This window comes from Homo sapiens, chromosome 9, assembly GCF_000001405.40.
Source record: "Homo sapiens chromosome 9, GRCh38.p14 Primary Assembly".
Classification (NCBI taxonomy): Eukaryota; Metazoa; Chordata; class Mammalia; order Primates; family Hominidae; genus Homo; species Homo sapiens.
In genome coordinates this window covers 133,542,257-133,570,050 of record NC_000009.12, presented here as the reverse complement: position 1 = coordinate 133,570,050, position 27,794 = coordinate 133,542,257, and the positions used below count along the sequence as shown (strand labels likewise).

The following is a 27,794-nucleotide window of genomic DNA, read 5'->3' as shown; positions in this document are numbered from 1 at the left end:
ATTTGGCTCGAGATTATCCGGTTTAGTGACCTGCCGGGAGCTGCTGGTTGAAAGCAATTTGTGGAGAGCAACTCGTCTGAAATGGCAAGTTGGTGACGATGACAGGTGGGTGCGGAAGACACACTGGTCACGATCAGAGGTCGCAAAGGCCCCTGGGCCAGGAGCAGGCAGCCAAAACAACCCCTGTCCCTAGCTTTCTGCGTCCCAGGGACTTGGGGGCCCAGGCTGGGGGCAATGCCAATTCTGCACGTACCACTGAGCCATGCAAAATTGAGATTTGGGGACTTGTAAGGTGTTTTCCTACCTTTTAAGCCTTTTGTATTCTAAATTAATTTTTAGGGAATTGTCCCTTCATAATTTGCAATGAATTCCTCTTTTTCACCCATCTGTGGTCCCAGCCATCTGGCTCTCCTCTCTGGCCAAATGCTCTCCAGATACCAGGAGGCCCTTCCGCGGGCTCTGGGGCACTCACCCGCTCCCAGTCCTGGGCCAGCCAGTGGGCGGGACAGTTTTTGTCCCCACAGGGGTGGATGGCCAGAGGCTTGGTCTCCATCTGGCACTGGGACTCAGGTACTACCCGTCCGTCGCTGGTCTTGCAGTACACGTGCCTGATGGTGCGGCCTTGCCCGCAGCTTCCACTGCACTGCAGGGGAGAGGACAGGCAGGGGACATCCAGTGAGAGGCAGCCACACCAGGAGGGGCCCTGGATGTCAGTCCCAAGGGAGAGGAGTGGCTCCCAGGCAGTGTCGAAGCGGTTGCCATGGTAACCACTTTTTAAATAACATTTTCTATTCTAATTACAGAAATAATGCATGCTTGATGAAAAGCACACAGAGAAAAGCACACTTAAAAAGATCATCTGTGCACCCACCACCCAGAGGCGACCCCAGCTAGCATCTGAGCATCTCTCTCGATGAGAGAGACAGAGACAGGGAAAGAGACAAAGACAGACACAGAGAGACAGAGATGGGGAGACAGACAGAGAGACTCGGAGACAAACAGAGACGGGGAGACAGAGACAGACCAACAGAGGAACAGAGACACAGACACACACAGGGAGACAAAGGCAGAGAGAGATACAGAGAGATAAACAGGTGATAGAGGGAAGGTGATGCTGGCCACGTGTTTGGAGAGAAGTTTTGATTCCTATAATAACATGGGAGAAGGCTGGTTGGACATTCTTGACCTCACACCCTTGCCTCGGAAAAAAATGGAAACTGAGGCACATCAAGGCAAAGCTCTGGGTCCCCTCACCAGCCGCACGCCCAGCCACCCCTCAGTGCAGGCCTCACCGGTCCCCAGTCGGAGACGGTCCACTGCCGGTCACAGGGCGGGCCCGTGCAGTTCTTCTCCCCTACAGGCCTGGTGTTGGGGTCACACAGCTTCTCATCCTCCGAGCAGCGGATGTCCCTGGTCACCACACTGCGCTCCCCACACTTGGCAGTGCACTGGGGCGGCAGGGGGAGGGGGCAGGGGGGGTGTGACACAGGTGTAGCCACCTCCATCTCCCAAGCCCAGCTCCCCAGCTCTTCCCGACCCCCGGCTTGCTCCCGCAGGCACTCACCTCGGACCACTCCGACATCTCCCACTGGGGCCCGCAGGCGGGGTTCCGGCAGGTCTTGCGTTCCTCGGGCCGCACGGCCTCGGCTGCCTCGCACAGGTCGCTGTACACGGAGCTGTCGAAGCCGGGCGAGAGCATCTTCCAGCAGCGCACGACGCGGAACTGGTAGCCCTCTCCGCAGGTGCGCGAACACTCGCTCCAGCTGCTCGTCTCCCACCTGCCCCGGGAGCGGATGGCCTTCAATGATCCCCCCCATGGCAGCCGGGACCCCATGCAACCCACACCCCCAGAGACAACGCGGCTCCTCCCTTCCTCCCCTATGTGGTCCAAAACCGCACACAACAAGCTAAGCCAGACAGGAGGGTGTCGAGGCTCAAGGGTGCAGGCTGGGCCATGACGGCCCCGGAGGTCTTCAGGGAGCACCTTAGCAAGGTGGTTGGCGGGTGCCCTGAGCGTGGGCTCGGCCTTCCTGCCCCTTCGTGCCCTGCTGTGTCACACAGGTGGCTGTGCGCCCACAGGATTCTGGCAAGGGTGGAAGTGAGCAGAAGGCACATTTCTGGATCTGTGTCCAGAAAGGGGGCATGGCCAGCGTGCTGGGGAAAGACCTCTCCTTCCCCTTAGCTTGAGCTGGGAGGGGTTATGAGTGAGACCCGGAAGTCTTCCAGGCAGATAGACTTGGAATAAGAGGTCCAAAGCTGATGGGCTCTGAGGGGAAGGACAGGGCCTGCTGGACCCCACCCCCGGGCCAGCCTTAGCAGCATTCTGGGGACCTTGGGCATTCTGCCCTTCCCAGAAAGGAGCAAACGTGCAGGAAGTGGGAGGCCCCAGATGGAGGAGTCCAGAAAAGAAGAGGCAGTGTGGCCGTGTGCGGGGAGCAGGAGGGCTCAGCCTCCGAGGAGTGTGTGATCCTTGTCGGGGGAGGCCGGCACCCTCAGGCTCATCTGGGGACCCCACTTGTCACTAGGTGTAGGATGCACTCAGCTCAGACTGACTGCATCCACAAGGCAGGAGACGAGGCCCAAAGGTCAAGAAAATAGGCCTCCACCCACATCCAAGGGACAGCCAATAGGCATGGAATCTTGGGAATAATCCCTTGAGTTTATAAAAATCCTAGATGTGCCAAGTGGGCCTGGTGGGGCAAAGATACCGCTGTAATATAATGTTGAGAATGGTTTCTAAATCTGCGGTGGCAAGCATTAATTGAGCACCTACTGTCTACGAGGCACAGTGACAGATTAAATTGCAACTCCTGGGAAGACCCAGAAGGTCTCTGAGGGGTGAGGTCTGTATGCCCCTCCTCGAAGAGCCCCCACGGCCCTGCACACGAAGAACCTCTACGGGGCAGGGGGTAAGTCTGACTGCTCCTTTGGGCAGAGCCCCTCACGCCCCCTGCCGACCCCCTGCCCAGGGCCCCTGGTGGCAGGTACCTGGGCTGGCACTCCCTCCCAGCGCAGAACTCGTGGACAGGCTCGGGACGGGTCAGGGCGTCACAGTAGCTGTCATCCACCTCGACGCCATCATAGCGGACACACATGGCGTACGCAGACATGACCCCTGGGTTGGGGACAGGGGTGGGTCTGTGAGCCATGCCGGCACCTTGGAGCCCAGCAGACAGGCCTCAGGACTTGGGGCAAGTCACCTGACCTCTCAGCTCAGCTTTCTGGCTTGGGGATCAGTCACAGCTTGTGCAACTGTGGCATGAGGGCAGCACTGTGGGTCTGAGCTGTGCGGGTCTGAGCTCTTCTCTTTGCACCCCCACCCCGCCCCACCCAACCCAGCTGGGCTCCCAGTTCCCATGTCACGGAGTCCGGGCTTTGAGTCTGCTCCAGCTGGCCCCCGTGGAGGTGCAGAGGCAAACACAGTCAGGTGTCCCCCATCGCCAGGCGTTCAGCAACCACCCATCCCTGGGTGGACAGGCAGGCGGGAGTGACATCTGACGGCTCCAGCCCCGTCAGCCTCCTCAGAGGTCATGGTGGGGGTTCGGGCGCGCCCTGCCCTCTGTGGCATGCCCCAGTCCTTAGCAAGCATCCTCTTGAACTTTCTTTTTTTGAGATGGAGCCTCACTCCGTGGCCCAGGCTGTAGTGCAATGGTGCAATCTCAGCTCACTGCAACCTCCCCCTCCTGGGTTCAAGCAATTCTCCTGCCTCAGCCTCCCGAGTAGCTGGGATTACAGGCATGTGCCACCACACCCGGCTAATTTTTGTATTTTTATGGAAATTGGGTTTCACCATGTTGGCCAGGCTGGTCTTGAACTTCTGACCTCAGGTGATCCGCCCGCCTTGGCCTCCCAAAGTGCTGGGATTACATGCGTGAGCCACCGCGCCAGGCCTGAACTTTCTTTAATCATCACTGTGTGCCTGTCTTTGTTGGTGCCCCGTACTCTGTAATCCCACTGGGGGACAGTGGGTGACAGGCAGCCCTCACCTAGCAGTGCCACTTCCTTGACCACATCTCCACCTTCTGCTTCTTTCGTCCTCGCCCCTGCACCCTTGCCTGGTACCGAACTGCCACACAGGCCCAGCTCCCTGCCCAGGAGCAGGATGATTCTGGGAGAGCCGGCAGCAGTGGGAACGGCCTTGGGGTGGGGTTAGGGTTTGCTGCTTCTGCTGTGGCTGTGTGTGTGTGTGTGTGTGTGTGTGTGTGTGTGTGGCCACGGGAGACAGACCCAGCCTTCCGGGATGACGGGCATCATGGAACGGTCTTGGCTGCAGCTGCCAGTTCCCCCAGAAGGAAATCGGTTTCCCCATATCCAGAGAACCCAGCCGCCCGGCGGCGTGTGTCTGCAGGCCAGCGGCTCCTGCCTCTCCAAGCCCCAGCGCTGGATGGAACGAAACAGCCTGGGAAGCAGCCGACAAGGGGATTTTTTCTTTTTTCCGTAAAGGACGAGCCAGGCTGCAATCACGGTTCCTCTCCCGCCAGAGCTGGGCCGTGCAGCCTTTAGCCTTCTCTGAGGGGGAGGCTGGCTTCCCGGCCAGGTCTGCTTGGAATGTTCCAAGCCTCAGAGACACCCGCTCTGGGGCCCAGGGAGGTGCGGGGCTGGGGACTTGCAGACCATCGCCAAGTGCCTGGTTATTCATTCGCTCCTCGTCACGGAGTGGAAACGCGGCAGGCCTTGGTCAAGAGAGACTGGAATCCAAGTCCCAGCTCAGTGCCTCCCTGGGGTGACGTGACCGTGACCAGACTCCAGGCCTCAGCATGCTCCTTCCCGAAATGGGAACCTTCCAGAGAGCCTGTGAGAATCAAATGCCAGGACGTTTTTTCTGGGCACCCTCTTCATGACACCCATCTCGAAAACGGTGCTTTTCAAACCCCCTGAGCCACGGAGCCCCTCCTTGAAACAAAAGAAAGGGGAGGATGAAGCCTGGGGGCCGCAGGATCCACTGTCCTCACCACGGTGCCCTGGAGCGCCGAAGGGCAGCAGAAACTTCCACCTATGACCTGAGCCGAGGCCAAACTCACGCTCCTCTGTTGCTATGGCTCCAAAAGAGTGTCTTCGAAGAAAAATCTAAAAACAAGCTTCCCCACCGCGGCCAAAGCTCAGGGCAGGCTGATCTGCCCCACTGATAGAACTGCCCTGTGCCTGGGTTCTTGCGAGGCACAGGATGGAGGGTGGGCCAATGACCATCCATGGGACATCCGCACGGACACAACCTATGCAAAGGGTGGACCCTGACTCTGTTATTTCTGCCCAGTGCCATTCAGCACCTCCCACAGTGACAGGGAACTCTCCCTCCCTCCTGCCCTCCCTTTCTCTCTCTCTCTCTCACCCTCTCTCTCTCTCCTTCTCTCTCTCTCCCTCTCCCTCTCTCTCTCCCTCTCCCTCTCTCTCTCCCTCTCTCCCTCTCTCCCTCTCTCTCTCTCTCCCTCTCTCTCTCTCTCTCCCTCTCTCTCCCCCTCTCTCTCTCCTTCTCTCTCCCTCTCCCTCTCTCTCTCCCTCTCCCTCTCTCCCTCTCTGTCTCTCTCTCTCTCCCTCTCCCTCTCTCTCTCCCTCTCTGTCTCCCTCTCTCTCTCCCTCTCTCTCTCTCCCTCTCTCCCTCTCTCTCCCTCTCTCTCTCCCTCTCTCTCTCCCTCTCTCTCTCCCTCTCTCTCTCCCTCTCTCTCTCCCTCTCTCTCCCTCTCTCTCCCTCTCTCTCTCCCTCTCTCTTTCTCTCTCTTTCTCTCTCTCCCTCTCTCTTTCTCTCTCTCTCCCTCTCTCTCCCTCTCTCTCTCCCTCTTTCTCTCTCTCTCCCTCTCTCTCTCCCTCTTTCTCTCTCTCTCTCCCTCTCTCTCCCTCTCCCTCTCTCTCTCTCCCTCTCTCTCTCTCTCCCTCTCTCTCTCTCTCCCTTTCTCTCTGTCTCTCTCCCCCTTTCTCTCTCTCTCTCTCTCTCTCCCCCTTTTTCTCTCTCTCTCTCTCTCCCTCTCTCTCTCTCTCCCTTTCTCTCTGTCTCTCTCCCCCTTTCTCTCTCTCTGTCTCTCTCCCCCTTTCTCTCTCTCTCTCTCTCTCCCTTCTCTCTCTCTCTCCCTCTCTCTCTCTCTCTCCCTCTCTCTCTCCCTCTCTCTCTCTCTCTCTCCCTCTCTCTCTCTCTCTCTCCCTCTCTCTCTCTCCCCTTCTCTCTCTCTCTCCCTCTCTCTCTCTCTCTCTCTCCCTCTCTCTCTCTCTCTCTCCCTCTCTCTCTCTCTCTCTCTCTCTCCCCCTTTCTCTCTCTCTCTCTCTGTCTCTCAGGGTGGCTCATTTCCATTTCTGAACAACCTCCTGTAAAGCAGAGTTTCCTTCTTCCAAAGCCAAAACCTGTCTTTCTGATTTCCTGTTGTCCTTTGCCCCACTGCACCTTGGGCCACGCTGCACAGACCCAGTCCAGCCCCCTCCCTGCCATTCTCTGGGTGTTGGGAGACAGTGCTGTGTCCTCCCTGGGGACATCTTCCACGCAGGGCTGCCCATCAGGCCCCTTGCCAGCGAGGCTGCCTCACCCTGCAGACGTCTCGAGCGACGTCCCCTCTCCAGCCAGCGATGTGTCTGGGAGGAATCACAGATGTTTGCAGACACTTAGTGACAACGCCCACAGGCTTGACACTTACTGACAACGCCCACACGCTTGGAGTCCCCTGGCCAGGAAGAGTGGAGGAACTCAGGGCAGGTCCGCAAAGGACTTGGCAAAGCAGACACCCTGCTGACACCCCACCACCATGCTCAGCTCCGCTAGGGGTCTGCCCGGAAGGCAGGTCACATGGCTCACTTCCAAGGCCAGCTGCTCCTGGGTATGGTGGAAGCCGCACCCTGCATCAGGTGGTGGCAGCCACCCTCAGAACGGCAGCATCCATTGACCTCTGACCATGAGAGGCTATTCCTTGTTTCATGTGGATCCCCACAACCCACCTTTGAGATAAGCAGGCGTCCCAGTTCACCTGTGGAAAACAGTGGCTCGGAAGGCTTTGGCAATTTGCCCAGGGCCCATGGTGTGGTCAACCAGGCGGTGCAAGCCTGGCCAAGCCGGTGCCCACCACGCCGCCCACAGCGGTGCGAGCCTGGCCAAGCCAGGTGCCCACCACGCCGCCCACAGCGGTGCGAGCCTGGCCAAGCCGGTGCCCACCACGCCGCCCACAGCGGTGCAAGCCTGGCCAAGCCGGGTGCCCACCACGCCTCCCACAGCGGTGCGAGCCTGGCCAAGCCGGGTGCCCACCACGCCGCCCACAGCGGTGCGAGCCTGGCCAAGCCGGTGCCCACCACGCCGCCCACAGCGGTGCGAGCCTGGCCAAGCCGGTGCCCACCACGCCGCCCACGGCGGTGCGAGCCTGGCCAAGTCGGGTGCCCACCACGCCGCCCACGGCGGTGCGAGCCTGGCCAAGCCGGTGCCCGCCACGCCGCCCACGGCGGTGCGAACCGGGCCCAGCCGGGTGCCCGCCACGCCGCCCACGGCGGTGCGAGCCGGGCCCAGCAGGGTGCCCGCCACGCCGCCCACGGCGGTGCGAGCCGGGCCCAGCCGGGTGCCCGCCACGCCGCCCACGGCGGTGCGAGCCTGGCCGAGCCGGGTGCCCGCCACGCCGCCCACGGCGGTGCGAGCCTGGCCGAGCCGGGTGCCCGCCACGCCGCCCACAGCACTTGCTTTTTCCCTCCAGGATGCCAGGCGCAGGGGCGAACACAGCATGCCCCATGGCTATGCCCTGTTTGGGGGCTCTTGTAACAGGAGGCAGAGCCCTTTCTTCAGTCCCAGAGAGGCAAGGCCAGTGTGAGCAGAGCCTGCAGGGCCGCCCCAGCCCCTCCCTCTCTCGGGCCCATCTCCTGAGATGCCAGCAGGGCTGCAGAGGGTGCGGCCAAGCTCAGACTGCCCAGCTGTGTGGAATCCTCACTGGCCAGAGACTGCAAGGGCATCAAATGCCCTGGCAAATGGGTGGCACTGGGGCGGGACCAGGAGCATCAAACCTTTTGAGGGCCAGCTGGGTATCCTCTACATCCAAACATGAAGCCCCAAGAATAGATAAAATGTGACCTCACAGCCGGCACTGGGGTCTCCCTGCCATATTTTCTCCCATCAACGGCCCTGTATCCTGATCCTGGGTTTGACATCAGACCTCGCGGCATCCCCCAGGGGAGGGTACTAGAGTGGGCAGCAGAGGCAGCTCCAGCTCTAGCGGCTGTGGCCAGCGTCTCAGGGCGATGGTGGCCGTGCAACCAGACAGCTGTGGGTTCAAATCCCAGCTCAACTCTTACTAACCACACACATCTGTCTGTCCAGGCACCACCGAGGAGGGTCTTTTTTCCCCTCCTAACTTCTCCCCTGCTGATGAGGTCCTAGAATTTGCCTACTTCCCTTCGTCACAGATCACAGGGGCCTATGACTCCCTTCCTATGTTTGCTGGAAGCAAAAGTAAAATCTCTGCTACCTAAGATTTCTTACTTTTAACCCAAAGGATGTTTGCCCTAACAAAACATGGTATCACTGGCAACAGACAAGGGCTACCACCAATGGGTGGTAGCCCGGATGACCCCCAGGGGCCTGGACCTGACCATGGTCTAGCACACTGTGAGAATGAGGGTGGCCTCACCAGACACCCAAACTCCTATCACGCCACACTGCCCCCAAGTCAGGAGGCCACGGACAAGCACCCCGAGGGCAGTTTGGGGGCTGCAAGCTAGTGGGTGGGCCCCACAGCCCCAGCCCATGTCCATGGAAATGGGTTCAGGGCAGTTGCTGCCCCTTGGCACCCGTGACCAGTACCTGTGGTGCAGGTGGCACTGCAGGGCTCGTGGGACGAGAGCTTCCACCGGTACATGTCCGCGGGACTCACGCCTTGCTTGCGCGCCTTGGGCCTGGTCCTGAAAGCGAGACCAAGCAGGGAAGGTGATGAGACGCTCCAGGCCCCACCGGCAGGCTCCGGCTTTTCAGGCGAGGGAGTTTTCTTCGGAGGGTATGTTCGCCTGAAGCACACACCTGTCCTGAGCCCCGGGCCGACCCTCCACCTGCTACGGTCAGAGTTCCCACTGTCTGAAGTGGAACGGATGAGGCGCCCGCAGAGGGGCACATTTTAGGATTGATTGGCATTGTTTTCCATCTCAACTGCATGGGAGCTGCCCGAGCTCCTTCCGGAGGGGAGGGGTGGCCTGAGAATTTGGGGCCCCCAGCACTGTAGTTGCTCCCTGCACACACGCAGGCTTCTCAATATTACCTTCTCACATCAGCTAGTGGGTTCCTTCTTCCCACCGGGGAGGGGACCTCAGAAGGTGTCTTATGTGCTAAGAATGTTCCAGAATTCTCTCCCACCCCCTCCTCCAGCTGGGACTCTGATGGAATGGGGGACACTAGGCATCCAGCCTCCAATTATCAAAATTAAAAAGCTCGGCTGCTGGCAGGGGCCGAGCCTACAGTGCAATTCAGGCAGGCCATGGCTGCACGGACCTGCTGGGGTCGGGGGAGGCACGCTGGGTCCCAGCCAGCCACCAGCTATGATTCTTGGCTGGAGCCTATGCAGCCAAAGCCAACTATTGTTAGGACTGTTTGCTTCTTTGAACCAGTAGGTGTGCCTGGGCCCAACCTCCACATCCAATGTGCAGGCTCATTCTGGACTCGGCAGGGGAGGAGGGAAGCAGAGGCGGCAGCAGCTCCACAGCCCGGGCATCTGCTCTGGGACGCCACCATGGAGTCCCGCCGCCCCTGAGCCAGAGAAGGGGCGATGGCAAGCCGGCGCGGTGGACAGCAGGTCCTTCGAGCCTCGACTTCCTTTTTAAACTGGACAGTGCAGCAGGTGGCATTGCCCAACTCCACTTTCCTCTGGGCCCAGAGGGGCTGGCTAGAGATGACCCCAAGCCGCCATACTTCACTGGGCTGAAACGTGGGCCAGGTCACAGGTCCTTCTTCAGGACCTTCAGTCACCTGGGGGTGGTCAGGCTTAGAGCATTATATTCAGAAAGGCTTTCAGATTGACTCCGTGATACAGACATGGGTTTGGATTGAATGGGGAGTTTACAATGTGTTAGGCAAGCGGGTGAGCATTGCTCTTCTGTTTTGCTTGGACTGGAATGGGAGGATCCCACAGCCAGGCAGTATTTGTGGGGATGAACGCTGCCTTGACCACACATCTGAGGCCCCAGGAATGATCTACCCACAGGAGCTTCAGCAGTGAGTTCACTGGTGTGGCTCCCTAAACTCAGGGAGGGAGAAGAGGAGTGAAGGGAGAAGGCATGGGGACCAAGGCCCAGGAAGGGCTGCGGGCTGGGGGCTGGTCCCACTGTTTCTTCAAAGCCTCCTTCACCTGGGAGCTTCAAGCCAGGAGAGTCTGTCCCATCCTGGGGCTCAAGGGGAAGGGAAGAGTGCCTTCTCCTCCCTCTTTCAGAACTTAGAGGAAGCTTTAAAAATGGGGGTGGGGGCCAGGCGCAGTGACTCTTGCCTGTAATCCCAGCACTTTGGGAGGCCGAGGCGGGTGGATCACGAGGTCAGGAGATCGAGACCATCCTGGCTGACATGGTGAAACCCCGTCTCTACTAAAAATACAAAAAAAAAAAAAAATTCACCGGGTGTGGTGGCGGGCGCCTGTAGTCCCAGCTACTCAGGAGGCTGAGGCAAGAGAATGGCATGAACCTGGGAGGCAGAGCTTGCAGTGAGCCGAGATCACACCACTGCACTCCTGAGCAACAGAGTGACTCCGTCTCAAAAAAAAAAAAAAAATGGGGGTGGGTGGGGGGTTTCCCAAGACCCTGTCATCTCAGAACAAAAGTTCCCTGGAAACCTGGAAAACTGCCCCAATGGGGGCCACTCAGAGCACCCAGATCAGGATAAGTAAGTCCTTTCAGGGAACGGAGAACCCGGAAGACCAGTCCTTAATGTTCGATTCAGAAAACACTAAACTGTGCTGACCAGTTCCCCACCTACTTTCAACAGCTTTAAATTCTCCCCAAGAACAAAAAGAGATGAAAAGATCCAACCCATGCCCCTCCACCCCACCCATGGAGACGCTCCGCCATCTTTATCTAATTACATGCTCTGAGCCAGCAGGCAGCATGACTCATGCCTGACTCAAGAGAGAGCGGGCCCGGTTCAAAATAACCCTTTGGATTTTAAGCACCAAAGGTATTTCTGGAGGGGCTGCCCACACACTCTTCGCAGCAGCACGTGTGGGGCATAGCAGATGCAACTCTTGAACATAACCCTGCATATATTTGCACAACAATGCAACGCCTAGCAGGTTCCGTTCTTGGAAGTAGCACAGGGAAGCGGAACACCAAGGAAATCGCTGAAGCACCAAACCGTCGCTCTCCTCCATCTGGAAGGAAGTCACTGCCCCTCTCAGCTGTGAAAGTCAGAGCTGCTAGACTGGGGCTGGTGACGGCTGTGGAGTCACCACCAGACCACCTGTCACTCCTCAGGGTCCTTCGCCCAGATGCCCGGCCAGACACAGGCTCACGGGCTCCCCAGGCAGGAGAAGCTCTGAAGCCACCGTGTTTGTTTATAAACAAGCCAGAAAGTGCTCTGTTCTTCTCTCCCCCCAAGGCTGCGGAGAGGGACTCCGCGTCTCTGTGTCTCAGAAGCTTGTTCCCAAAGTCGGAGTCTGGTGACAGGGGCCCCTCCCTTGATTGTTTGAAGCTTTTCTGGAAAGATGAAAATAGCCTTTCCTTTCTGGGCTGCCCCTTTGATTTTGCCTTCTCTGAGCAGACACGACTTCCTGTGTTTGGACAACTCGGCCGAGACGTGGCTATTTTGGCCTGGTGGTTTCCCCCGCCGCCTCCCTCTGCCCTTTATCTCTCCACACCATCTTTGGTCCCTGTGCGGCAGCATCCTTTGATGGCAGGCCGGCCGGGGGAGCAGCGGCATCTCAGCAGTCAGGGCCTTTCTGAGTGCTGACAGCCTAGTTGATCGACCCTTGAGGCCCCTGACAGGCCCTGGAAATTCAATATATCCTGGGGCGGGGGGCTAAGAGGGGAGGGTAAGAGTCAACCAAGATGGGGCAGGAGAGACTCTTTACAAAGCGGCTTGAGGATCCGTAAGCTTGTGCCATGACCCTGGCCTAAGGATCACTGAATATTTGACCTGGTGGGCCCAAAGGGCAGCCCCTGACAAGCCCCCCAGTGAGAGATGGGGAAACTGAGGCCCAGAGGAAGACAGAGATGCTCAACTCACACAGTGTCCATGCCTTAAGCCAAATTCCACAGCGAGGCCTCGGTGCCACTCTGATAAACCTATTCTATTTGGAGGGCCGTGACTGCCGGAGAGCTGGCCTCCCTGACCCAGGCAGTGGGTCCTGAAAGGCACCCCCCACTGCTGCCACTTGGAGGCTCAGTTTTCTACTAATAGCTTCTACTTACTGGAGGCCTTACCGTGGGCCTCACACACGGAATACCAGGGAATGCCCCGGACTGCCCTGGGAGGTGAAGAGGGCCCACGCTGAAGACACAGACAGACTGGCAGCCTTGAGTAGTGCCGTTCCCACAGGCAGGCACTGTCTGGGTCCGTCCCTCCTGCCCTTTACCCAGGACCCCCTCTCAGACTCAGACACTATACCCAAAGCAAGGCCCGGCCCTCCCCGCCCGAGTCCTGAGAACCAGCCACAGGCCCCACCTACCCAAGGCTTTGAGCATGCCAAGGTAAAGGGTGAGCAGACAGCCCTGTGCCACCCCTGTGGGAAGAGGGGCAGCCAGAGGAGGCTCCGAGGCCCCACTCTGTCCACATCTGCAAAGTAGGATTCCGCCCAGAGCCTGCCAGAAGTGCTCAGGACATCCTCCCTGCACCCCGCAGCCCCAGGCACCTCGGTGGCCTCAGAAAACAGTTTGAGAAAAGCGGCAGGCATCCCCTGGGGCTCCTGGCTCACCAGGGAGGTTGGCTTTGTTGCTCTGGTCCCAGGGCTGGATGGGTGGGAGGGTGGCCCCAAACCACATCACCTCGAGAGTGAACCCTGAATCTCCCATCAAATTCAGTCCCTGAGCCCCAAGGAAGACCCACTCAGCACTCCCAGCCCAGGCCGGGTTCAGTTCATGCTTGCGTCTAAAGTCAAAGGGCTTGGGTTGGACCTCAGAAAACAAAACCAAACACCAGTGAGCCCGTGCCTGCCTCCAACCCCCACTCACTGCCTGTTTAAAGTAGCCCCCAGGCACATGTGAGTTGCTGGGAGAAACTGTGGGGACCTGCAAGGGTGGCCACCCTCTATCTGGGGGCAGGCGGGGCTTGTCACCACGGACTGTGCTCCAGTAGGGACACGACAGGTCTGGGGTCACCCTGCTCACAGCTGGCCCCTGACACAGGGAAGCTCCCAACCTCAGACTTCCCCAGGTCTAGCTGTGACTGCCCAGGCGTCCCCAGCTGTGACTGTCCAGACAACCCTGGCTGTGACTGCCCAGGTGTCCCCAGACATGGCTGCCCCCAGACATGGCTGCCCATGTAGACCCAGCTGTGGCCTTGGCTCTGGAGGCCTGGCCCCAGGTGGACTCTCTCATGGCCCTTGCCAGCTGCAATGCCAGCCTTGTTCTTCATCCCTGATTTCAGGCTCTTGCCCCTCATGGAGGAATCCACTAGATCCTCTCCAGCCCTTGCTGAGGCTTGGGACTGAGCCACTCTGCACTTGGGGAGCTGCCTGGAGCTCCGCCTCCTCCTACAGGCGTGTGTGCCATGACTGTCCAGGCTTAAAACTAAGGGGTCCCAGGTTCTCAGGCTCTGTGACCTCGAATACACCGCTAGCTCTCTCTGAGCCCACAATAGCAAATAGCAACCCCACCACTAAGGGCGGTTGTGACGATGACATGTTTCCATGCATATAAAATGCTGAGCTCTGTCCCTGGCTCACAAGGCATGCTCAGAGCTGTTAGCTTCCTGCCTCCCTTCCCCCCATCAGCTGCACACATAGGGGCTCAGCCCTGGATCCTAATCCATGGACATAACTTTTGGGGAAAACTCACTGCAGCCCAGGCCTCTGACTTTGTGCTCAGATCCACGGGGCAGCGAGTGGAGAACCCCGGGAAGAAGGGGCCCTCTCTCCTCTACCTCTAGGACCTCAGCCCTTCTGGCCAGACCCCCCCAGTGGGGCCTCACTTTCTACCTGGCCTCGGCCCCATCCTGCCCCCTGAGGGCCCTGGACAGGGCTCAGGAAAGTGCCTCCTACCTGGCCTTGTGAGTCCTGTTCCCGGCCGAGGTGAGCAGGCTGGTGCTAACGTTGGGGAATGGGGCCTCGGAGGAGCTGTTGGCAACCCTGTCGCTGCTCAGCTCCAGGTAGGACCCGTTGAGCAGGTAAGGGCCAGCCCCCTCGTTCTCCTCATAATCCACGAAGAAGCTCTCGGCCAGGGAGCTCCTTGGGGCGCCCTGTGCAAAGATGCTGTTCACAGTCTCATTGAGGGTGAAGTCCTTCAAGTCAGAGCCTGCGCCCAGCAGCTGGTCAGAGATGGCGTTAGCCGAGAAGAACTCCTGGGAGGCGAAGTGGGTGTCAACCTCTTCGTCATCCTTGTCCCCGGTGAGAGGAGTCCCCGTGACGTTGCGGTCTGGAGAGGAGACAGGTGGCTCAACCGTGGGCACATCCGAGCCCTGGGGGCAAGGGCTGCCCTGGGGAGGGGACCTGGACGAGGGGGCCAGAAACACCAAGCTGAACCAAGAAGCTCCCAGAAGGAGGGCTTCTGCCTAACTAGAGGACGTAATTCGGGCAAAACGGAGGCATGAGACCTGCCTGGATCATCTCTTGCTGATGGGAATTCAATCGACTTCTGTAGTGGATTGAATAGCATCCCCCCAAAATTCATGGCCCCCCCCGGAACCTCAGAGTGTGATCTTCTTTGGAAATAGGGTCATTGTAGATATAATTAGTTAAGAATCTTGAGATGAAATTATCGTGGACTGAGAAATATCCTTATCAGAAGGGGACCGACAGAGACACCGGCACAGAGGAGGAGGCCTATGAGGACAAAGGCAGAGGCTGGAGTGACACGGTCACAGCCAAGGGGCGCCTGGGGCCCCCGAAGCTTTTGCTCCCTGTGCTGTCCGAGCTGAGGTGAGACCAGGTGCTCGTTGAGTGAGCGATGGGGTGAGCGAGAGATCAGACCATCCTGCATTTGACTCCCAGCTCCTCCACGGTGGACTGCATGACTTGGCCAAGCCACTTCCTCTTTCTAAGCCTCAGTCTCCCCATCCATCAAATGGGGATAACCACATCTACCTCAAAGAATGCATGGACAGAAGGACCTATCCCAAGTCCTCAACCCTGTGCCTGCCCAGAGGACATCTGCAGGTAGCTGGCAGCTCTTAGGAACCTCCTCTGCAGGTCTGCAAAGGGTCTGAGACCCCTTCCCCAAGGCCCCCTTCCCTGGGCTGCCTCCCGGGCCCCACCCTCATGCCTCCCTCCTCCTGGTTACCTCGGAAGCCCTTGCCCCTGGGGGGCCCCTCGCAGGCCCCGCCGCCGGCCTGCTCGCACACCTCGTTGGTCTCCTGGCCCTGGCTGGGGCCCAGCTCCATGTCCAGGCCCGGGTGGCCGAACAGCCGGTTGTCCAGGCCCAGCCGCTCTGAGGAGGCCTGGCCGTAGAGGGAGCCGTTGTGCGGGACGAAGCCCATCAGCCCGGCCCCGTCCAGGCCCTGGCTCTCAGCGCTCTCGGAGAAGCCATAGTAGATGGGCTGGGGGCGGCTCTCGTGTGGCGGCTGCAGCAGCGTGTACTCGAAGGTGATGGAGGGGCTTTTGCCGTTCTGGTTCCACACCTAGGGAAAGAGAAGTGGGTCCCCAGCCCCTCCTTACTCTGTCCAGCCCCTTCCCCACCAATCCCCTTCCCACAGAGCTGCAGGGTGCGTTCCCTGCTGTGACTGGCAGTTGAGCCCCCTCAGGGAATGACACTGACTAGCCCAGCCCAACGCAGTGCTCCTGCCCCAGGGGCATCCAAGTCAAAGAGCCTGGGAACAGGGCGGGGGCTGGGGATGTGTGGTGGGGGGAGTGGCCCACCCTGGGTACAGGCAACAAGGCGTCACAGTCTTCCAGGCACGCCCAGGTGGGCCCTCGTCTCTGCATGCTGTATGCAGAGAATTTAAGTAATGAAGCCAACAAAACCTGGCCTGCATTTTCTTCTCACCATGTGCCAGAAATTCTAAGTAATCACGGTGTCCCTCTCCCACCACCCTCCAACCCAGAGCCCCACTGCCCAGGCCAGGTGGGAGTACAAAGACCCAGGCTCTGCCTCAATTCGAGACAACAGTGAAGGCTCATCCCCGCTCCAGGGCTCCCTGTGGGATGGGCTGAGGCCCCTGTCAAGACCCTGGGGCAGCCCGGCTTCTCCCTCCACAGACCCCTGCTGCCCCTCTCTCCAGGAGTTGCTTTTTCCAGAGATTCCAACCAAAACCAGCTGGTGTCAGGAGCAGGCAGGCCTAGGATTTTAAAATAGGATGTCGGAGAGGGTCACGGGCTGGCAGAGGCAACGAGGGCCCACGTAGAAATGCCTGGAGCACAGAGACCCCCGGAAGACAGTGAAGCGGTTGTGAAAAGGTTCACCACTAGGGAACTGGGAGAGAATGCCAGCGAAAGGAAATGCACTATTGGTGCAATAGCTCAAGTGTTTGAGAGTTGGCTGGGGCAGGGGTAGGGGTTAAAAACTTGCAGAGGTTTGTGGAAGTAAAGGACCCCAAGAACGGAAGGATGGCATGGAAAGGTGAGGGTGAGGGTCTGCGCAGCCGCAGAGAAAGACACCCTCGTGTCCTGCAGCTGGAAGGCGGGAGAGGCAGAGGCACCTCCAAGGAGCAGAGAGCGTGCTCTTCCCAACTCTGCTAGGCCTGCTATGCCCAGGACAGAGACCAACCAGAAGAGGGGGACCTTGAGACTCGGGGTGTGGGGATCTGCGTCAATACACTTGAAAAACTTCACATCTCAAACGTCCCAAGCCTTCAGGGCCTCAAAAATGGGCCTGTCCCATTTGTCCCTGTTAAAGCCAGCGCCACCCCTGCCTGAAGACGACACAGAGACCTCTGCCTTCACGGCCACGCGGGCCTCCCACAGGAGCTGGCCTGCCCTCCTCTCCCAGCCACCAGACCAATAGCTTAGATTAAGTCACATTCTCGCCCAGTCAGGGCAGTCCTGGGAGAAGGGGCTATACACCAATGGAACGGCAGGACCAGCCCTCAGGAACTGCTGGGTGCATCCTCTCATGACAAAGAAGTTAGCGCCTTGGTAAGAACGTGGGGAGAAATGCTACCAGGCTACTAGGATGGCACTTAGAAGCATAGAGCAGGTAGGGGCTGACCTAAAGGATGCAGATGTAGCCAGCCCATCACATCCCGCATTTAACTCGATAGTTCAGCCCCCACAATAACAAGACAGACCCCAGGGATCTGCCATCCGAGTCTGGATGGGTGCTGCACCCTCCACCAAGTGGTGGCCTCCACTGCCAGGATGTGATCACTGTGGTCTCTCTCCTAGAGCAGATCAGCATGGCCTCAGGTTGATCCTAGGTGGCCACTGATCTGGAAAATATGTTCTTTTCTATCCCTGTCAAGAAGGTGGACCAGAAACTATTTCATTCCCCTGGGGTGGACAACCGTATGTGTTTACAGTCTTGACCCAGGGCTACACTTACGCTCCCGCTCCCAATTACAATACACTATAAAGGCATCTGGACCACTCCAAGCACTTGACCTTTGTCCTCTGCACTGATGGCGCCACACTTATCAGATCAGAGGAGCAGACACTGGTGCCAGAGGTCTTGGTAAAGCACCTGTCTTCCAGAGGAGCAGAGATTCAACCCTGTGAAGATTCGGCAGCCCCTTACATTAGTGGAAATGTCAGGGTTCCGCGGGCTAGGGCGTACCAGACATCTCTTTGAGAGGAAAGAGAAATTGACAGCATCTCATACCCTCCACCACGAAGAGTAATTCTGGAGCCAGCATATTCCACATCCAAGAATATCTGTTCAACTCATCTGCTGGGTGACATTAAAAGCTGCTGCTGGCCAGGTGCGGTGGCTCACGCCTGTAATCCCAGCACTTTGGGAGGCCGAGGCGGGCAAATCATGAGGTCAGTAGTTTGAGACCAGCCTGGCCAACATAGTGAAACCCCATCTCTACTAAAAGTACAAAAATTAGCTGGGTGTGGTGGTGGGCGCCTGTAATCCCAGCTACTCTGGAGGCTGAGGCAGGAGAATCGTTTGAACCTAGGAGGCGGAGGTTGCAGGGAGCTGAGACTGTGCCACTGCACTCCAGCCTGGGCAACAGGGTAAGACTCCATCTCAAAAATAACAAAAAAAAAAAAAAAAAAAAAAAAAAGCTGCTGCTTTGGGTGGGATCCTGAGTGGAAGGGGCCCTGCAGCAGGTCCAGGCTGTGAGGCAAGCAGCCCGCCACATGGGCCGTATGACCTGGCAGATCCTATAGGAATAGAGATATCTGTGGTAGGGAAAGATGTCAGATGGAATTTCTGGAAAGCCTGTAGGGAAAGCATAACATAGCACCCTATGGTTCTGGAGCAAGGCCATCTGCAGTAAATAAATACACATCACTTGCAAAAAACTTCTGGCACACTGCGAGGCCCTACTAGAGATGGAACACTTGGGCTACGGGACATCAGGCGACCCACACAGCCAGAGCTGCCTCCAACACGAGTTCTACCAGCTCCGCCAGCAGCAATCCATTGTAAGGTGGAAGTGTTACACCAGGACTAGGCACACCCAGGGCCAGAGGGTACGACAAAGCTGTGTCAGCAAGGGACCCAAACTCCCCCATCCAAGACTCTTGTACCCACACATCCCCTTTCCAGCTCGCAGCTATGGCTGTGTGTGGGGGGGCCCTTATGATGAAGGGAGAGCAGAGAAAAATGGCCAAACTTGATTCAGAGATGGGTCGGCATGCCCTGAGGGTGCAAGCTGAAAGTGGGATCTACTTCACTAAAGCCCCATCCAGGACTGGCCTGGAAAAAGAGCAGTGAAGGAAAATCTTCCCCATGGGCTTCAGGCAGTGCATGTGATGTAAGCATCGGTGTGATGGGAGGCAGGGCAGCCCGAGATGAGAGTATGAACTGAATCATGGGTGGTGGCAAGTGGCTTGGCTGGCTGGTCAGGAGCCTGGGTGGGAAAGATCAGAAGGTTGGGGACCAGGAGGTCTGGAGGAGGTACCTGTGGCTGGATCTAGGGAGTAGGCATAAAGGATGGAGGTCTTCCTTTCATTTGTTCATTTGTACCAGGAAGTGTCACCATGCGAGAGGCACTAAACACCCCAGTAGAAGACAGAATGGCCTTGCCACTGGACACAGGCTAGTCACAGGCATCATCACCCCACTGCAGGCACAACGGGTGAATGAATCAGCGTGGAGGAAGGGATGGAAGCTACATGTGGCCCCAGCACACGGCTTCTCACTCACCACAGCCACCATAGCTCCTTCCGCTCCTGAACGTCCAGTCTCTGGCCTCAACACTAAGCCTCTAAAGTACCACCTCTAAAGGCCACTCAGCTACTGGGTGACAAGCTGATCACATCAGACCCCTTCCATCCTGGAAGGGGAAGTGCTGAATCTGGTCCTAAATAAAAGTTGCCTTTCCTGCCCACAGAAGCTCAGCCACAGCCCCAACGCCCAAAGGCTCACAGAGTATTTGATTGAATGGGACAGGGTACCGAGAACATGGCATTAAACAAAGGGACCCGCTTTATAGCAGAGGACGTGCCACAATGGGCGCATGACTGTGAGATCCACTGGGCCTGCCGTATCCTCCAACACCCAGAAATGCCAGCCTGATGGAGCAATGGAGCGGGGAGCCACAGTGCCAGCTGAAAGGCAGCACGCCCGTGAGGATGGGGCATCTCCCATGAGGCACCACCCACATAAATCAAAGGATTTTCCTTCACTGCCGTTTTTCCAGGCCAGCCCTGGATGGGGCTTTAGTGAAGTAGATCTTACTTCCAGCTTGCACCCTCAGGGCAAGCCGACCCATCTCTAAATCAAGTTTGGCCATTTTTCTCTGCTCTTCAGGGCACCCCCACACAGCCATAGCTGTGAGCTAGAAAGCGGATGTGGGTGCAAGGGTCTTGGATGGGGGAGCTTGGGTCCCTTGCTGACACAGCTGTCTCATACCCTCTGGCCCTGTGCCTAGTCCTGGTGCTGTGTGCCCAGCACATAGAAGACATGGGTCTGGGATGCAGGAGGGGCAGTAGCAGTAGCGATCATTCCCAGCCACCACTTGGGGACTGTGTGTTCCCCATCCCTGCAGCTCTGGGGTCTGTGGTCTGGAGACCTTGGTTTGCACATGGGGAACGTTTCCACCCAAAGACGAAGCAACAGTTTCATTACACTTTAGGCTGCGGCCACACACGGTCTGTTTGGGCATTTTGTGCCAAGAGACCAGCAGCATGGAAACGAGTGGCCGTCCTGGCTGGGTGATTGAACTTGATCATCAAGAGCAGACAGGCCAAGGCAGGTGGCTCACGCCTATAATCCAAGCACTATGAGAGGCTGAGGCAGGAGGGTTACCTGAGGCCTAGAGTTCGAGACCAGCCTGGACAACATAGCAAGACCCTCTCTCTACTTAAAAAAAAAAAAAAAAAAAAAAGAGTAGGAAAGGCGTTGTTTGACCCTGGGGCCAAAGAATCTATGTGGCACCTGCTGATGCCCTGGGCATCTCTTGGTATCCCCCTGCCCCTTGTGATGATAACTGGACAAAAGCAGCAGCCTCAGGTTGAGATGGTCATGGAGACCAGGGTCACCTCACCAGGTAGCCACCTGGCCCCTCTGAGGTGCTAAGCCAGGCTAAGGGGAAATAGAGGGCGTCGCAGAAGAAGGAAACTGTGGGCCGGGCGCGGTGGCTCACGCCTGTAATCCCAGCACTTTGGGAGGCCGAGGCGGGCGGATCACGAGGTCAGGAGATCGAGACCATCCCGGCTAAAACGGTGAAACCCTGTCTCTACTAAAAATACAAAAAAAAATTAGCCGGGCGTAGTGGCGGACGCCTGTAGTCCCAGCTACTTGGGAGGCTGAGGCAGGAGAATGGCGTGAACCCGGGAGGCGGAGCTTGCAGTGAGCCGAGATCCCGCCACTGCACTCCAGCCTGGGCGACAGAGCGAGACTCCGTCTCAAAAAAAAAAAAAAAAAAAAAAAAAAAGAAGGAAACTGTGAGTGTCAGTTGTAGCCCCTACACCAGCTGCAGTTCAGCCCACTAAACTTCCTCCTGTAAGGCTCCCTGAGAAAGAAACCAATGCAATTCTAGAGGGGCTGTTCCCCTGCCAAGGCAGACTCGTGCAAAGCGCATAGGTCCAAGCTGTGCTGGGGGTGGACCACGGACCCCACCCTTCGGTGAACTGCCTGGGGTGGGTGCGCAACAGTTCACAGCTGTGCCCCACCCCAGGAATTTCCCTCAGCCAGGGGGAGCTGTCTCTCCCCAGGTCATGCCCCCCACAAGGGGCAACTACACCTGGCAGTATGTGATGCCCTCCTGCCCCAACTTGAGATAATGCGACCCCCAGGGGGCTGGCCGAAGCCCGTTGAAACTGCATCACAACTCAGCTGCTCCCTCTGTCTAGTCCCGTGCCCTCCTGCCCACATCAGTGTTCCTGAGACCGCTCCTGACACTGCCCCCCAAGCTCTCTTGCACACAAACCCCCACCTCAGAGTCTATTTTCTGGGGACCCTGACCTACAAAACAGCCCCTGCAGCCAGGAGGCAAAGCCAAGTGGTCAGTCCACCTCCAGACACAGCTCCAGGCAGGACCAGGTAAGCACAGACACAGAGATGCGTGGCCCCCATTTGATTCCGGGGTCACCAGGAAAGCTCTTCAGCCAAAAAGCAGTGTGGGGAGATGGACAAGCACCCCCAGTTAGAGACCCCTCCAGCACAGCAGCTAAACAAAGAACAGGCTCTGGCACCAGGCAGGCCTGGGTTCAAAGCCCAGTCGTGCCACTCACAATTCCATGACTGCAAGTCACTCGCTCTGTGCCCACATTTCATGACCTGCAACATGAGGCAATGAAACCCACCACAGGGAGATCTGGAAACCAAAACAGCCCAGGTTGTGGGGTGGCTCCAACCCTGCTGTATTCCCTCGGCCTCCAGGAAAGTCAGCAGGCCTTGACGGGCACCACAACTGCCCTTCTTGATGTCACCTGACTTCAGTGACATGACAAGTCCTTTACATATTTTCGGTGCTGAGGCACCAAGCCACCAGAGCCTCCATTTCCAGACGCTAGCCATAGAAGAACTTGTGGCAAGTCGGGCATAACAGGCCCACGCTCCCTCCTGCCCACTGCTCGGGCCCTGAGCCCCACCCCAGAACCCCTGAGTATCCTGGGGAGGCCATGTCAGGGGAGGGGCAGGGGCCACGGGAACTACCTTGGGCCCTGGCACTAAGGACCGAGCACCATAGTGCCTGGGGAGGGGGTGGAGCCTGAAGCTAGGTAGGGGCATAAACCCCTCCACCGTGGGGTAGGGAGGGGTCCAGCCTCAACCTTAATGCCCCGAGCTCCCTGTGGACTTCCCAAAGGGCAGGAAATGGGCCAGCACGGAACCCCCGCTGGTCCTCCAGGGAAGCTAGCCACAGTGAATGGATGGAGGAATGAATGATTTCAAGAAGTGGGTGAGAGAATAGGTGGTTGAGTGAGAAGTGAACAGGTAAATGAATTAATGAACTGATGAGTGAATGGGAGACTGGAAATGAACCAAAATCCGAGTGAATGAATGAATGGGGGAGGGAGTTAGTGAAAGAACAAGTGAATGAGTAACAGTGATTGAACGTGAAGCCCCAGCCCACGCAGAGTGGTGAGGCTGCCGGGTGCACGCGCACAGTGGCCCTGGGGGCGTCACGGGCTGGAAGACCTCACCTGTGGCTGGATTCTGGGGAAACAGTGCCCAGGGCCCCTGGGGCCCCCAAGGCCTGCGGCACACGTACCATGACATTCAGGCCCTGGTTGGTGGGCCCCTGTGCCACGATGTACTCGATTCCGGTCTCATAGACATCCATGGGCCGCCTGTACTTGACCACCGTGCCTGCGATGTTGAAGTTCTTGGGGCTGTCCACCTTGTAGTTGCCGTTGAAGAAGTAGTAGCCAGCTTCGTCTGCAAGAGCTGGAAGGGCAAAGCCGCCGGTCACAAAAGGCCAAACTGGCTGGGGGAGGAGCCAGTGTCACCAACTCAGGGAACCACCACCAGCCCTGCCCTCCAGAACCCCGGCTCAAATGCTCCCGAGACAGGAAACTCCCATCATGGAGAGTCTGGCCAGTGAATGCGGAGGAGGGGCAAACGCACGTTCCTCTCAGCCTAAAATCAGCAATGAAGGACTGGTCTAGACATTGAACACGGCTGGCTGGGGACCCATTTGGTCCTGTTCTTGTGGCTACCTGTGAAGAAGCTGAGGGGCTGCAAGGTAATGAGGTCGCACCACAACCAAGGGACCCAGTCTGGAGCAGGAGAGTCTGTGGCCTGTGGAAGGCACACACGAGGCAGCAGGGGTCCTGGGTGCCCCTCCCGTCATCCACACAGAGTGACCCTGCAGCCCTGGCCTGGCTGGCATGGGTGTGCTGACCACCAGGCCTTTCCTGGGGATCGCCCTGAGCTGGCCAGCTCCAACCTCTCCACGGGAGCAGAGACTTCCTGCTGCCCTTGCAGGCAGGGCCATGCTGACCCTTCACCCAGTCAACCCGTGCACCCAGGCCTGGCCGAGGTGCTCAATCAGGCCAGGGCGGCCTGGTCCAATCTCAGTCACCCTCTTCCTGGGTGCCCAATCAGGCCAGGGTGGCCTGGTGCAATCTCAGTTGCCCTCTTCCTGGGGCCGGGTGGGTGGGCACTCCCAGGGCCTAACTCCAGCCTGATGGAAGCTCAGGATGGAAACAAATGGCCCATGAAGCCCTGCAGCCCCCACTCCCCACCACCCCTGCAGACTGGAACAACAGCCCAGAGCTGGTGGGGTTTCAAGGGGAACTGATCCTCCCTGGGGCCATGGAGAGTGAGAAGAGGTGGGGGGCCTCCAGGGCTGGGGACGCAGGGAGGAGGCCGATTCGGCGCTCGGGACACTCTGTCTTCCAAAGGGTGTCCTTAAAGCCAGTTCCAGGAACTGGCCAGTGGGAGAAGAGGAGTTCGGCTTCCAAATTCCTGATGCAATATGAACAGAGGAGCCGGGGCAATTAATTTATTATCAGACAGACGCAACAAGCAGGACATGTCTGCTTGAAAAACCCCCTTCACGTAGAAAAGTCAGAAGATAACGCAAATTAGAGTCCAAGTTCTGCGAGGGGGAGTGTGCTGGGGCCTGGTTGTCTCGGCCCTGTTTCCAGGTATATGCACAGGGTTAAATCCGAGGCTCTCGTCCAAAACCTGTTTCCTGACAGTAATGACCTTCCTTCCTGCGGCTTTCCCAGTGCTCCGAGCCCACCCTTGGTATTTCTACGCGTCTGTTTCAAGAGCAAGAGCTTTGCAGCCAGCTCAGAGAATGTGGAGTTTCCTGGCCTCTCCACTCTCCCAGCAAGCAAGCGACAAAGCAACTGGCCTGGCGAGAGGCCCGGCTCCCCGCTCGGGCCAGGGAGTAGCCCCCAGGGCGCTGGGTGGTGGAGCCAGCATCTGCAGCACAGACCTGCTGGGGCAGGGGCACTCAGACCCCAGGGCACATACGGAGGGCTGGCCCTTAGGCTCTGGAGAGGGAACAGGAGAACCCAAGGTGGGTCCCAGCCTGAAGACCTTCAGCAAAGCCTCCTCTTCCAGCACCCCCTTAGGAGATGGGCTTCACCCCACCAGTTCTGGCTCTCAAGAAGAGTGGGAGGCAGTGGGGGGAGTAAACCCAGGTAGTGTCAGGTTTGGGGCTGCACCTGTGTCCAAGAACAGCGTCCCTATACCCAAGCCCGCCCCATAAAGGGAAGGGCCGAGCACAGAGCAGCTCACAGGTGTCAGCACCTGCCCACTGTGGCCCAAGGGGTGCAGACATGGCACGCTGCTCGGCCAATACTCCATCTTCCCAGAGGGCTCTTCCAAAATTTGCCACCAAGGCTCCCTACACTCAAAATCTGCCACCAAGATGGGGCCTCACCACTCTGTCCATCATGGAAACAACTCCAGAATACTCAGGTTAGAGGACTCCCCTCCTACAGCCCAGCCTCCCAGCGGAGTCTGACTAATGGCAAGAACATCAGCATGAGACCCCAGACCTGAGTCGGAATCCTACCTCTGCACCGACTTCCTCTCAGTGCTACCTTGACCTTGTCATCTCCTGAGACTCACTCCTCGAACCCCACAGGGATCTCATCTGCAGCGGCCCCCAGCTTCTGCCTGTGCCAGGCTCTCGAGTGACAGGGAGCTCACCACCCAACATCACCACCCTCCCATTGTCCAGCAGCTCTGAGTTCAAGGTCCTGCCATGCACAGGGGTAAAGCTGGCTCCCCTGTGAGCACCCCAGCCACACCCACACAGCTGGCTCAAGTTCTGGCTCCTGCAGCCATGCCCACAGCACTGGTCCATCCCTGTCCTGGAGGAAGGGGTCCAGGGTCAAGTGCCCCTTCTCTGCCACGCACAACGCTCCACAACCAAAAGCTCAGTGAGGCAGCTGCCAGACACTGCGTACCCACCTAGCACGTCAGCGGACTTCTTCCTCTCTACAATCTGGATGTCTCGGGCACCAGCCGGGATGTGGGTCACCAGAGAGTAACCTGGAGGCAAAAGGATGACAGTGAGCCCCTCTTGATTGGAAAGGCAGCCTTGGGTGGCACTCGCCCACTCCACAGCTATTGGAGGGTGAGCGGTGGCTGTCTAAGGGCTGGCCCAACCCCCACACCCGCTTGTGTAGCTCAGCTCAGCCCCGTCCCATTGCAGAGGCTGACTCACCAAGCTGGGCACCTGCCCAGGCTCACCCCTTCCTACCAAGGCCATAGGAAGGCTCATCCGTGCTTGCCCCAGCCCCTCCCGAGGGACAGCGAGGGCCACAGGGACATGGAGCACACTGGGAGTTCAGTCCGGCTCTGCCATGTGTCACCCAGGAGACCCTGGGCAGCCGATGGAGCCCCAGCTCCCTGCGTGCATTGTCACTGCCATTTTAAAATCCTGTCTTGTGACAACAACACGTTGACTTTCAAGGCTAGCTACACTCAAAGACGTGGGTGAGAAAGGACAAGGAGAGCTGCAGATAGAATCTCCAACTAAGCCTACGCCCTTCCTAAGCACCAGGCCCCAGGCTGAGATCCAGATCGGGCAATATCAGCCAGCTCAGAGCCTGTCTTCAAGGCCCCCAGGCCCGTGCGGAGGCAGCCATGCAGTCCTCCCAGCTAGAAAGAAACCAAGGGTCTGGAGGGGAGGTGCTCAGAGAAGGAGAGGCATTGCTGGCAGGTGGCTGAGAGAGGAGCCTGGGGAGAAGGAGAGATTTTAATACGCCCTGGGACAGGAAAGAAGGGGCTCTCCAGGTCGGACGTTTCCTGAGGCTTGACGCTTGTCTCACCGGATCCCTCTGGGAACGGAGGATTCCGCGTGCATCTCCCTGCTGGGGTGAGTGTCTCCTGCAGGCCAGTACCCGCCTGCCATCCCTCCCCTAACACCATCACACCTACAGGTCCCTGGAGATCCTGACCTGTCCCTCACAGACAGCCGTGCTCTGGAAAATGTTTAACAGTGGGCTCTTTGGAGACACAGGGGAACAGGAGCTGTGACTTGTAGCATTGGCCAATTTCCGTGGTGTAAACACCCCCGCTGTGGCCAATTTCAAGCCACTGTAATGGGGCAGCTTAACTTCAAAATGCATTTTAAAACATTTTTCCCCTTCTTTGGGTTTCAAGATAGAAGCTTGAAGCAAGCGACTGAAGCTATGTTTGTTTGCACTACCAACCTGATATCACTGGGTGTGGCATTGGGAAGAGAGGCTGCAGCACACCCGTATATGGTGTTTTTGCCACACAGATAAAATAGTTATACACTTTGGGAGGCCGAGGCGGGCAGATTACCTGAGGTCAGGAGTTCGAGACCAGCCTGGCCAACATGGTGAAACACTGTCTCTACTAAAAATGCAAAAAAAATTTAGCTGGGCATGGCGGTGGGAGCCTGTAATCCCCGCTACTTGAGAGGCTGAGGCAGGAGAATCGCTGGAACCCAGAAGGCGGAGGTTGCAGAAAGCCGAGATCGCATCATTGCACTCCAGCCTGGGCAACAAGAACAAAACTCCGTCTCAAAAAAAAAAATAGTTATAGACACTAAAGGATTAGAAAATGGTGACTTTGTTTTAAATATAATGTATTTAAATATAGACTGTTATACTTTAATTTTCAAATTAGCAAGCAGCTCACAAGATTCTTGAGCATTTAATACCCCAGCCCATCCCACAGCCCCCAGCGTGGTTACCAAGCACAGTTCGTCCGGGGAAAGAGTGTGGCTCAGCTGGGAGGATCACAGGCCAAGAGTAGGCTGCCTGGGTTCAGGCCCCGTTCTGCCTCTTGTGGCTGTGTGACCTTGGATGAGTTATTTAGCCTCTCTTTGACTGTTTCTGTATATTTCAGCAACAGTAATAGTGCCAGCCTTGTAGAGCTGTTGCCAGGCGTGAATGAGTTACCTTGTGAATATGGAGAAGAATGAGGGGCGCTGTTTGCATGTCAGCCCCTTGGCCCCAGGCTGAGTTCCACGAGGACATGAGCCCTATCTCTCAGGCCTCACTGTGTGCACAGTGCCTGGCACACACTACGTGCCCTACAAGACACGTGCTGCCCCAATGCCCACTCTCCCTCTGCATGCCCTGGGTCCAGCAGGAGGCCGTGTGAGCAGGTTTGTGAGAGGAAGGGAGGAAAATCAGACACCTTAGCGGCTCCTAGAGCGAGGCCTCCAAAGAAAGGGCCTCTGCCCACCTCGCCCTGCTGGACACCCAGCCCGCATTATTCACACCCCT

General features: G+C 57.8%; 1 protein-coding gene across 6 annotated transcripts in view, besides 5 other annotated features; it reads right to left on the bottom strand.

The window, feature by feature from the left end:
- Positions 1–27,794, bottom strand: part of ADAMTSL2 (ADAMTS like 2) — a 43,356-nt gene that overhangs the window by 5,469 nt on the left and 10,093 nt on the right. For all 6 annotated transcript variants that reach the window (NM_001145320.2, NM_014694.4, XM_011519241.3 and 3 more), the window contains 9 exons: positions 25,501–25,581; positions 22,838–23,013; positions 15,358–15,694; positions 14,121–14,493; positions 8,756–8,853; positions 2,989–3,115; positions 1,565–1,778; positions 1,293–1,448; positions 473–643 (listed from right to left, as the gene is read on the bottom strand). In NM_001145320.2, coding sequence (NP_001138792.1) covers positions 473–643; positions 1,293–1,448; positions 1,565–1,778; positions 2,989–3,115; positions 8,756–8,853; positions 14,121–14,493; positions 15,358–15,694; positions 22,838–23,013; positions 25,501–25,581 — 1,733 coding nt within the window. The remainder of the gene's footprint in view (positions 1–472; positions 644–1,292; positions 1,449–1,564; positions 1,779–2,988; positions 3,116–8,755; positions 8,854–14,120; positions 14,494–15,357; positions 15,695–22,837; positions 23,014–25,500; positions 25,582–27,794) is intronic.
- Positions 12,705–13,206: an enhancer, noted in NCBI's record as "H3K4me1 hESC enhancer chr9:136421967-136422468 (GRCh37/hg19 assembly coordinates)". NCBI's record gives its function as "activates a minimal SCP1, AML or CMV promoter by ChIP-STARR-seq in naive H9 embryonic stem cells {active_cell/tissue: H9 hESC(naive)}" and the evidence as "EXISTENCE:reporter gene assay evidence [ECO:0000049][PMID:30033119]".
- Positions 13,709–14,210: an enhancer, noted in NCBI's record as "H3K4me1 hESC enhancer chr9:136420963-136421464 (GRCh37/hg19 assembly coordinates)". NCBI's record gives its function as "activates a minimal SCP1, AML or CMV promoter by ChIP-STARR-seq in naive H9 embryonic stem cells {active_cell/tissue: H9 hESC(naive)}" and the evidence as "EXISTENCE:reporter gene assay evidence [ECO:0000049][PMID:30033119]".
- Positions 14,211–14,713: an enhancer, noted in NCBI's record as "H3K4me1 hESC enhancer chr9:136420460-136420962 (GRCh37/hg19 assembly coordinates)". NCBI's record gives its function as "activates a minimal SCP1, AML or CMV promoter by ChIP-STARR-seq in naive H9 embryonic stem cells {active_cell/tissue: H9 hESC(naive)}" and the evidence as "EXISTENCE:reporter gene assay evidence [ECO:0000049][PMID:30033119]".
- Positions 24,107–24,762: an enhancer, noted in NCBI's record as "H3K4me1 hESC enhancer chr9:136410411-136411066 (GRCh37/hg19 assembly coordinates)". NCBI's record gives its function as "activates a minimal SCP1, AML or CMV promoter by ChIP-STARR-seq in primed H9 embryonic stem cells {active_cell/tissue: H9 hESC(primed)}" and the evidence as "EXISTENCE:reporter gene assay evidence [ECO:0000049][PMID:30033119]".
- Positions 27,228–27,728: an enhancer, noted in NCBI's record as "H3K4me1 hESC enhancer chr9:136407445-136407945 (GRCh37/hg19 assembly coordinates)". NCBI's record gives its function as "activates a minimal SCP1, AML or CMV promoter by ChIP-STARR-seq in naive H9 embryonic stem cells {active_cell/tissue: H9 hESC(naive)}" and the evidence as "EXISTENCE:reporter gene assay evidence [ECO:0000049][PMID:30033119]".